The 12,027-nt window shown below is 43.0% G+C and overlaps 1 pseudogene; it reads left to right on the top strand.

Moving 5' to 3' along the window:
• Positions 7,668 to 9,161, top strand: ASS1P6 (argininosuccinate synthetase 1 pseudogene 6; annotated as a pseudogene).

The following is a 12,027-nucleotide window of genomic DNA, read 5'->3' as shown; positions in this document are numbered from 1 at the left end:
GTTGCTGCAAAAGTAATTGCGGTTTTTGCCGTTAATATTAGGTTGGTGCCAAAATAATCGCGGTTTTTGCCATTATTTTTGCACCAACCTAACACATCTGCAAAGCCATTTTTTTCCACATGAAATAACATATTGATGGGCTCCAGGGATTAGGATGTGGACATCTCTGAGCACCTGTATGCAGCCTGTTACACTCAGTAAAGAAGTAAGGGAAAATGAGTGTCACGTAGGTATCTGACTATCTCAGCCACAGTGAAATGGGAAAAGTTCCCTCATCTCCCTCACAGGGCATGCGATGGAAGTGTGGCTCACTCCTTCAGTGCCCCACTGCGCAAACCCCTCAGAGGTGCAGGCAGACCGGGAGGTTGTGGGGCTCCGACCCCTCGGCAGCATCTAGGGGTGAATGTTTATAGCTCCTGAAGCCCCAGTGGGCGTGTGTTACAGAGTGCTCTTTTAGTTTAGCCATCCATAAGCGGCTTGTGTTACTCAGCTCAATTAGACCCCCTGCCTTATCACAAAGATGGAGGGCTTTCTGTATCCCCAGTTTCTTGTCTTTGTGTACCAGAAGAATCAGATCACACATGGGCTTGGAGAATGAGTACAAGGTTTTATTGAGTGGAGGTAGCTCTCAGCAGATAGGGGAGGCAGAGGGAGATGGTTTTCCCCTGGAGTTGCTGGCTGCTCAGCAGCCCAGGCTTTTTTCCTCTGACCTCTCCTGCCGAACTCCATGCCATTCTGCCAGTCAATGGCCCGCCAGCCTGCCAGTGTCTGCCAGTGCACTCTTCCACTGGCATGCTCCCCTCGAGGTCCGGCTGCTTGTGTCGTCTCCACTTATGTGTTCCTCTCAATGTCCAGGTAATTGTGTGTCTGCCTGCTACAGTCTCGAGGTTTTTATAAGCACAGATTGGAGGCAGAGCAGGCCAGAAAGGTCTTGGAAAATGCAACATGTGGGCAGGAAAACAGGAGTGCCTGTACTCACTTAGGTCCATGGGCACAGGCCCACAGGTGGAGCCCTAGCCAGGGACCACACCCTCCTCTACCCAGCACTTCCCTGCCCCCCTTCCATATGAACAGTCCTGTAAATGAAAAAGTAGATGACTGATTTTTACGTAGATTCATGGGGTACACTCAGCCTAGACCTATCTGAACCTCTATGTGCATACCAAATTTTATGGTAGATCTTAACATGTAAGCACTTTTTGTTGGTTTATTTTTAAGACAGTCTTGCTCTGCTGCCCAGGCTGGAGTGCAGTGGCTTGATCTGGGCTCACCGCAACCTCCACCTTCCGGGTTCAAGTGATTCTTCTGCCTCAGCCTCCAGAATAGTTGGGATTACAGGCATGCACCACCACATCTGGCTAATTTTTGTATTTTTAGTAAAGATGGGGTATTGCCATGTTGGCCAGGCTAGTCTTGAACTCCTAACCTTAAGTGATCCACCTGCTTCAGCCTCCCAAATTTCTGGGATTACAGGCATGAGCCATCCTGCATGGCCTCATGTGAGCACTTTGATTGCCACTAGAAGACATGATGGGCTGTGATTTTGTTTCATGGTAAAGTGAACCCCACAGCAAAGTACATTTAAACACGTTTTAGCAAGATAGATATTACATATCATGAGATTTCATCCTACTCCAGTCAGAATGGCTATTATTGAAAAAACAACAGATGTTGGTGAGGATGCAGAGAAAAGGGAACACTTATACATTGTTCTTGGGAATGTAGATTAGTACAATCTGATGAAAAAGAGTGTGGAGAATTCTCAAAGAACCAAAAATAGAACTATCATTCCATCCAGCAACCCACTACTGGATATCTACCCAAAGGAAAAGAAATTATTACATCAAAAAGATATGTGCACTGGCCTGGCATGGTGGCTTATGCCTATAATCCCAGCACTTTGAAAGACTGAGGCAGGTGAATCACAACAGGTCAGGAGCTTGAGACCAGCCTGGCTAACATGGTGAAACCCTGTATCTAGTAAAAATACAAAAATTAGCCAGTGGTGGTGGCACATTCCTGTAGCCCCAACTACTCTGGAGACCGAGGCAAGAGAATCATTTGAACCCAGGAGGCAGAGGTTGCAGTGAGTCAAGATGGTGCCTCCGCACTGCAGGCTAGGAGACAGAGTGAGACTCCAACTAAAAATGAAAAGAAAAGACTCCTGTACTGGAAGCCCTATTTACAATAGCAAAGATATGGAATCAACCTAAGTGTCCATCAATGGATGATGGGATAAAGAAAATGTGGTATATGTACACAGTGGAACACTATTCAACCACAAAAAGGAATGCAACCATATCTTTTGCAGCAACATGGAAGGAAGTGGTGGTTATTTTCTTAAGTAAAACAACTCAGAAACAAAAAGACAAATAGTGCATGTTCTTATTTATAAGTAGGAGCTAAATAATGTTACCACATAGGAGTAAAGTGCGGAATCATAGACATTGCTGACTGGGAAGGGTAGGAGGGTGCTGAGGGATAACAAGTTACTTAATGGGCACAAATGCATTATGCCAGTGATGGATACAGAAGCCAAGACTTCACCACTGCGCAATCTGTCTAGGTTACATAATCACATGTGTACCCCATAAATTAACATACATTTTTTAAAAAACCAATTACACTGCTTCTAAAAGTCATCATTTAAAAAGTCAAGCAATAAAAAAATTCATTTATTGATTTCATCATTTGTCTAGTTAATAAATCCAAAAATATTGAGTGTATTGATATAGCCCGAACTCCACAAGGGCCTAAATTGTGTTAATCCCACTTGCTGGATTCCACATCTCAGCAGGGAACAGTGTGTGCTGTCTTGCCTGTCTGCTTTTAATAGGTTTGTACCAACCTGCCTGAAGTGCAAATAGAGAACCGGTCTGGGGATGTGTGTGGGCTGAGCAGAGAAAACCACTTAGAGAAATCACTGATGTCTGCCAAGTGTTGGGAGAAAGGATGACACAGGGGGCATTCAATTAGCACACCTGCCCTCATCAGTCTGAATGCTATTTCAGTGCAAACTCTTACTGCATTGTGTCTTAGTTCATTTCATGCTGCTGATAAAGACATACCCAAGACTGGGAAGAAAAAGAGGTTTCATTGCGCTTACAGTTCCACATGGCTGGGGAGGCCTCAGTATGATGGCAGGAGGCAAAAAGCACTTCTTACATGGTGGCAGCAACAAAAAATGAGGAAGATGCAAAAGAGAAACCCTCATAAAACCATCAGATTTCATGAGACCCACCCACTACCATGAGAACAGTATGGGGGAAACTGCCCCCATGATTCAAATTATCTCCCACTGGGTCCCTCCCACAACATGGGAATTACAAAGAGTACAATTCAAGATGAGATTTGGGTGGGGACACAGCCAAACCATATCACATTGGTAACATGCTTGCCTGTGTAGTTTTAGGAATGTGCTTCTCCAGCTTACTAAAACCTAATTTTAACACAGAATATCTTACTTTAATTTTTAAAGATTTTTCTAACAGCTTTTTCCAGGAAAAAACCTTTCTGTCAATTTATTTCCTGAAATAAAGATAATAGATTCTTTTGTAAATATCTCCTAATTAAGCAATATGGAAACCTTAAAGGAAAGTGAACATCTTTTTCTTTGTTGTTGTTTTGTTTTGTTTGTTTTTTTAGACAGGGTCTCAATCTGTCACTCAGGCTGGAGTGCAGTGGTACTATTATGGCTCACTGTAGCCTCGACCTCCTGGCCTAGGTAATCCTTCTGCCTCAGCCTCCTGAGTAGCTGGGACTACAGGTATGCACCATCATGCCCAGCTAACATTCATATTTTTTATGGAGACAAGATTTCATTATGTTGCCCAGGCTGGTCTCAAACTCCTGGGCTCGAGCGATCCTCCTGCCTCGGCCTCATAAAATGCTGGAATTACGGGCATGAGCCACCATGCCTGGCCCTCATTTTCAACATCTTATAACAACTATAAGAGATTTCTTGATTTCCAGGCACATCGTGTTGTATCATTGGTTTCTTTAAAACTTATTAAAGCAATTTTATCTTGTGTATATTTGTTAATAATGGTATTACAAATGATTTAATGTAATTATAATATTTATGGTTAATAATGCAAATAGTATATAGTATATAAATATATGGGTCTGTAAGTATATTTCATAAATTATTGGGTGTATAAGATATATTATACATTATATGGGTATATAAGATATATTATAAAATTATATCATATTAATAAAATACACACTATATTCTATTATATATAATATGGCACATAAGTTGCACGTGGTGGCTTATGCCTGTAATCCCAGCACTTTGGGAGGTGAAGGCAGGCAGATCACAAGGTCAGGAGATTGAAACCATCCTGGCCAACATAGTGAAACCCTATCTCTACTAAAAATACAAAAATTAGCTGGGCGTGGTGCACCCTTGTAATCCCAGCTACTTGGGTGGCTGAGGCAGGAGAATCACTTAACTCAGAAGGCAGAGGTTGCAGTGAAGCCGAGATCTCGCAATTGCACTCCAGCCTGGGCAATGCAGTGAGACTCCATCTGAAAAAAAAAAAAAAAGTTACATATGAATATATAACAGACATCATAATATAAATATCTTTCTATATTATGTAATATTTGTTATAATGATATATTCATTCCATTATATATTTATAATACATTTATATATTATATATTATATTTATATATTTGTATATTATATATGATACATTCATTTTAAAATATCTAATGTTTACCTAATCAAGTTATCTAATTAACTTATAACATCTAATTAAAATTTGTTTATATAAATTATGTATTTATATTTTATAATATATCAATACATTTAAATGTGTCATCAATATAATGTATGTTATAAAATATTTATGTATTACAATACAATAAATTGATATTCATTAAAACATGTATAAATTTAAGTTATGCAGTTAAATATGTATGAATATCTTATGCAGATTTCAATATGAATTAGATAAGTATACAAACATTTTCCCTTTGCCTTTAGGGAGTTCGTTATTCTTTATAAGTTTTCTTTCTTTTTCAACTGGAAAAAAACATAAATAAACTTGAGTTAAAATCTAAATGTTTGATCTGTTTATTCAAAGATTTCTTACACTTAGTTTATCTGTCTATGTCTCATACGACCTACATGGATCACTTGAAAGAGTTATTGGTAAGGTTATGGTGGGGTTATTGGGGTAGGGGTTTAAGCAGAATTAAATGTAGGGAACTGAGTTCCCCCTAGAAGCACAAGCAGAGACTAGGATTTGAGGGTAAGGTGTTTATGGGGAGGTGACACCAGGAAGGACCCATCGGAGAACCAGAAAATGAGACAGTGGAGGCCCCATTCCAGAAACCTTCATTGAGCTAATCCGAGCGTTTGACCTGGGGCTGCGCATTTTTGGCGAACACCCGAGTTGTTTCTGAAGCAAGTAGAATATGGATCGTGCATCTCCCAGAGGATACTCTGATTTGAAGGAATCTCCTGTTTACACTGGCTCATTGGCTTTTTTGAGTGATAACCCTGACGGGGCCCATGACAGGTCAATTTCACCTTGAGAAAGAGTAGTTCAGGGACACTGGCTCTTCTGTTAACCTTCCTAGTTACGCACAAGGGTGCCCAATGGCTCACAGGTGAGAAGACCAAGGTACAGCAGGGGGGGATCGGCAGTCAATTCCTACCACTAGAAATGACTCACGTTGTGGCCCAGTAATTCCTGATGTACAGTGCATTATTACTGGATAAATGGCTCCCTCCTGGGAAGATACAGAGTTCACAGGCCCTCACCCATTTGCCAGCTTATTAATTTTCTATGGCTGTTGTCACAAATTGTTATAAACTTAGTTGCTTAAACGATGCAAATTTATTTTCTTACACTTCTACAGTTCAGTAATTCTGGAGGTGAGAAGTTCAACAAGAGCTTCATTGGGCTAAAATCAAGATGTTGGTAGGCTCAGCGTCACGCAACGTAACAATGTAATAAACCTGCACATGTACCCCTTAATCACAAGTACAAGTTCACATTATTTTAAAAAGTAAACACCTTCGCCAAGAGAGAAAAATACTTGTGAATTTCCTTCTGGAATCTATTTTGAACAGAAGTATGGTGTATTCATTTTTTAAACCTGATCTTTGGTCTGATACAAATGTAGATTTTTTTCCTGGTTTTTATATTAAGTTACTAATTAAAGTGATAATTACAAAAGTGAAAAAAAAGGGTATCAGTAGGGCTGCATTTTAATAGAGAAGATGTTAGGAAGAATTCATTTCCTTGCTTTTCAGGGATGGTGACAGAATTGTTTCCTGTGGTTGTAGAATTGAGGTCTCCCTTTCCAGCTGATTATAAACAGGAAACTTCATTTCCAGCTTCCAGAGACAACCGTACTTATCTCTGATTCTTCTGCTGTTTTTTATTTTTTTGAGACAGGGTCTTACTCTGTAGCCCAGGCTGGAGTGCAGTGGTGTCCTTACAGCTTCAGCTTCCTGGGATCAAGCGATCCTCCTGCCTCAGCCTCTCAAAGTGCTGGGATTACAGGCATAAGCCACTGCTCCCAGCTTTTTAAATTTTTTGAGATAGAGTCCTGCTCTATCATCCAGGCTGGAGTGCAGCACCATGGTCATAGCTCACTACAGCCTTCAACTCCTGGGATCAAGAATAGCTGATATTACAGGTGTGCGCCTCCATATCTGGCTTCTTTTTTTTTCTTTTTTTTCTTTTCAGTAGAGACAATGTCTTGCTATGATGCCCAGGCTGGCCTTGAATTTTCTCTACTTTTAAGGACTCTAAGGACAGTTTAAACTACTACAGGTGTACTTAGTTCCCTCTGGAGGCTCTAGGGGAGGACACTTCCTGCCTCTCCCAGGTCCTGGGGGCTCCAGGTATCTCTAGGCTTGTGGCCACATCATTCCAGTCTCTGCCTCTGTCTCCAAGTGGCCTTCTCCTCTGTGTCTGTGTGTCCTTTTCTGTCTCTTACAAGTACACCTGTCATTGCATTTAGGGTCCTGAATCCAGCCTGACTTCTTGCAATTAGATTGGGCCCAGCCTGAATAATCAAAAACAATCTCCCAGTTTTAAGGTCGAGTGAGTTAACCACCTTAATTCTATCTGCAACCTGTATTCCCTTTCTCCATTGCAGGGTACCATATTCATAGGAGATTGGGATGTGGCCCTCTTTCAGAGGCCATTATCTTGCCTCCTATGACTTTCTCTCTTCGACTCTGGCTCGTGTCTGCCATGGAATCTTGTCTCCCCCTGATAGCCCAGAACTGCCTCAAATGCTGACCAATTTTGACACACAGAATTCTCAATAGGCTCAGCTCCTCAGCTGATAGGCACTGAATCCAAGCACATCTGACAGCCACACCAAGGCTGGTGCTCCAAAGGAGAGTTCAAAACTCCTTCAGTGTACACCACAACACTCTCCACACAGTGTCTGAGCATGGCTCATGGGCCTGGAGTCAGTGCTGACCCAAACTCCTGGTCAGTGTGCTAACCATCCTGATATTCCTCATTGATTTTGGTGTTGCTGCTAAACTGAACAGTATTAGTTTGGTATAGCTGCTGTAAAAAAATTACCTCCTCTTGCTCTGTCACCTGCTTCTGTTGCACGGGGCGCAAGTGGTTTACTGCACCGTGAAGACAGATTTCAGATGCAGGGAACTCGCACCTCCAATCCCAGATGCTATGTCCAGCAAAGGATCCATGGTTCTGGCCCACAGTGGTGGCCTGGACACCTCCTGCATGCTTGTGTGGCTGAAGGAACAAGGACATGTTGTCATTGCCTACCTGGCCAACATTGGCCAGAAGGAAGACTTCGAGAAAGACAGGAAGAAGGCATGCAAGCTTGGGGCCAAAAAGGTGTTCATTGAGGAAGTCAGCAGGGAGTTTGTGGAGGAGTTCATCTGGCCGGCCATCCAGTCCAGCGCCCTGTATGAGGACTACTACCTCCTGGGCACCTCTCTGGCTAGGCTCTGCATCGCCCACAAACAAGTGGAAATTACCCAGCAGGAGGGGGCCAAGTACGTATCCTATGGCATCATGGGAAAGGAGAACGATCAGGTCCAGTTTGAGCTCACCTGCTCACTGGCCCCCAGATTAAGGTCATTGCTCCCTGGAGGATGCCCGAGTTCTACTACTGGCTCAATGGCTGCAATGATCTGATGGAATACACAAAGCAACATCGGATTCCCATCCCAGTCACTCTCAAGAACCCGTGGATCATGGACGAGAACCTCATGTGTATCAGCTATGAGGCTGGAATCCTGGAGAAACACAAGTACCATAAGCACCTCCAGGTCTCTACACAAAGACTAAGGACCTGACCAAAGCCCCCAACACCCCTGACATTCTCTAGATTGAGTTCAAAAAAGAGGTCCCCGTGAAGGTGACCAACGTCAAGGATGGCGCCACCCACCAGACCTCCTAGGAGCTCTGCGTGTACCTGAACGAAGCTGCGAGCAAGCATGGCCTGGGCCATATTGACATCGTGGAGAACCATTTCATTGCAATGAAGTCCTGAGGCATCTACAAGACCCTAGCTGGCATCATCCTTTACTATGCTCATTTACACATCGAGGCCTTCACCATGAATCAGGAAGAGTGCAAAATCAAACAAGGCCTGGGCGTGAAATTTGCTGAGCTGGTGTACACCAGTTTCTGGCACAGCCCTGAATGTGAATTTGTCCACCACTGCATCACCAAGTCCCAGGAGTGAGTGGAAGGGAAAGTGCAGGTGCCTGTCTTCAAGAGCCAGGTGGACATACTCAGACAGGAGTCCCCACTGTCTCTCTAAAATGAGGAGCTGGTGAGCATGAATGTGCAGGGCGATTAGGAGCCAATTAATGCCACCAGGTTCATCAACATCAATTCCATCAGGCTGAAGGAATATCATTGTCTCTAAAGCAAGCTCCCTGCCAAATGGGCACCTACGTGAGGGGGAGCTGGGGCCTCCTCACTTTGCACACTTTGCAGATACCCCAAGAACAGACACTAATTATTGTGATAATTCGTAATTGTGACTTGTTCTCCCTGGCTGGCAGTATAGTGGGGCTGCCAGGCCCCAACTTTTTCCCTGGTACCGCTGAAGCCTGCAAAAGTGATCATCAAAGGGAAGGGTGGGGGACAGCTGCAGTGGAGAGCTATAAAATGACATTTTTTTTTTGAGACACTTACTCTGTCACCCAGGCTGGGTTGCAGTGGCTTGATCTCGGCTCACTCAATCTCCACCTCCTGGGTACAAATGATTCTCATCCCTCAGCCTCTCAAGTAGCAGAGATTACAGGTATGTGCCACCATGCCTGTCTAATTTTTGTGTTTTTAGTAGAGAGGAAGTTTCACCATCTTGGCCAGGATGGTCATGAACTCCTGACCTCAGGTTATTTGCCTGCCTCCACCTCCCAGAGTGCTGGGATTACAGGCGTGAGTCACCGTGCCTGTCCAAAAATGACAATTAAAAAAAAATTAGAAAAAATTACCTCCTACTGGGTGGCTGAAAGCAACATAAATGTATTAACTCCCAGTTCTGTTTTTTTCAGAATTTGTTATTGATAATTTTTGTGGGTACATAGGAGGTGTATATGTTTATGGGATATCTGTAATGTTTTGATACAGGCATGCAATACATAACAATCACATCACAGAGAATGGGGTATCCAGCCCCTCAAGCATTTACCCTTTGTGTTGCCAATAATCCAATTATACTCTTTTAGTTATTTTTAAATGTAAAAGTAAGTTATTTTTGATCTCCTAGTTCTCTTGTTGGCCTCTCCCTAGCTTCCAGTAGCCAGCAGCAATCCTTGGCATTCCTGGACCTTAGGTGAATCATTGCAGTCCCTGCCTAAATATCCCTGTGAACCTCTCCTCTGTATCTGTGTCTCTTCTTATGTCTCATAGAAGGACACCTGACATTGCATTTAGGGCCCAACCTATTCCAGGATGATCTCACCTTGAGATTCTTGACTTGGTTCTATCTCCAAATGCCGTGTTTCCAAATAAGGTCCCATTCACATGTTCTGGGGTCAGGATGTGGACATATCTTTTTGGGAGACTATGGTTCAATCGACTACAGTTGTACTCAGTTCCTTCTGGAGGCTCTAGGAAGAGCATCCGTCCTGCCTCTTCCAGATCTTAGAGGCTCCAGGAACCCCTGGGCTTGTGGCACAGTTTAAGCCACTACAGGTGTTCTTAGTTCCCTCTGGAGGCTCTAGGGGAGGATCCTTCCTGCCTCTCCCAGGTCCTGGGGTTTCCAGGTGTCCCTAGGCTTGTGGCTGCATCACTCCAGTCTCTGCCTCTGTTTCCAGGTGGCCTTCTCCTCTGTGTCTGTGTCTCCGCTTCTGTCTCTTACAAGTACACCTGTCATTGCATTTAGGGTCCTGAATCCAGCATGACTTCATCTTGACATCCCATACTAATTACATTTACAAAGACTGAATTTCCAAATAAGGTCCTATTTCAAAGTTTCGAGTGGACATGGAATTTTTTTAGTGGGGAAGGTGGGGAGAAGACACAGAATACCTGTTGTGTTCCCCGCATCCTCTGGCTCCTGCTGCTTTCTCCTAGCCAGTGGGATCCTGGTCTCTCACATCTAGCCATTACCTGGAGTCTTGCCTGCAGGGAGCTACCCCAACCCCCTGCCCTGACTGGCTCCAATTGGGTTATGTATTCCCCGTCTAATTGTATCACCACAATTATCACAACGTATATCTCATGATCATCAGCTCCAGTTTAGGGACTTTACCTTCCACCATCCTTTCATTAAAATGGTTTATTAAGATGCTTACTGCAAGTTAGACTATGTAAGTGGATACATTTTAAAAATACCTGAATTGAACAACATAATTTGACCTCCTACTCTCTGTTTGTCCTAGAAAAAAGCAGTAAATACACATGAATTAGAGTCTTAAAATATGAGAGCTTTTCAGGTTGGGCGCGGTGGCTCACGCCTGTGATCCCAACACTTGGGGAGGCCAAGGCAGGAGGAGCACTTGAGCCCAGGATTTCAAGACCAGGTGGGCAACATGATGAGACTCCTGTCTCTACAAAAAATACAAAAAAATTAGCTGGTGTTGTAGTGCGCACCTGTAGTTCCAGCTACTCGGGAGGCTAAGGTGGGAGGATCACTTGAGCTCAGGAGGTGGATCAGACAACTGCATTCCAGCCTGGGCAATAGAGCAACACCCTGTCTCAAAATAAAATAAATAAAATAAAATAATTTTATCTCCTACCTTGTGTCTGTCCTAGGAAAAAGCACTAGTGCCCTTGAATTCAAATCTTTAAATATGAGACCTTTGTTCTAAATGAACCACCCACAGTTTCCATACCTGTTATGAAGAAGTAACAAAAAGGAGCTGATTTTGTTTACTTAGCAGAATCCCCTATATTCCTAAGTGACTCACAGCCTGTTGCTGTTATGTAGCAGCTTGCTAGAGAGACTAAACATATCATGATTGTTAAGGGAATAAAATGCAAGTAAGATGTTCCTACAGAAACATTGCCGCTGGCTGTGAACACCTATGAGACACTTGGAAAATGATATCATTTTTTTTGTTGTTTTGCAGGAAGACAGATACACTTTGCATATTGTCCACACATGGAAACAATAGTCCAAGCATATAAGCTGGGTGGCCAAATTAATTGCAAACAAAGATACAGTAGCAATAATAGAGTGTAACCTTGATAGAAGGAGAATGAACAGATCCACAATAGGTCAGAAGATCTGAAGTTGCATCCACCTTATTCATTAGGAAGGCTATAAAAAGCAGGAAACAATAGCTAATGAGCTTAACTCATTTTTAAGAATAATTAAGGTAACAGATATCAGTATGTTTTCAAAAGAAATAAAATTCAATGGCTGCAGTTTCCTGTCTGGTTATATAATTGCCATGTAGTTGTATAGCCCAATTGATGACTAAGTTAAACTTGCAACACCCTTGCGAAGGCCTGCCCAGCCTCCAGCAATAGGCATGATATTTCAATTCATTTAGTGTAGGTTTGTTCCACATTCCACCAGCTATATAGTGTGGGTTTTCCTTTTTGG

This window comes from Homo sapiens, chromosome Y (assembly GCF_000001405.40).
Source record: "Homo sapiens chromosome Y, GRCh38.p14 Primary Assembly".
Lineage (NCBI taxonomy): Eukaryota > Metazoa > Chordata > Mammalia > Primates > Hominidae > Homo > Homo sapiens.
Note: the sequence above shows the minus strand (reverse complement) of the source record. Positions and strands in the feature narration are given on the sequence as shown.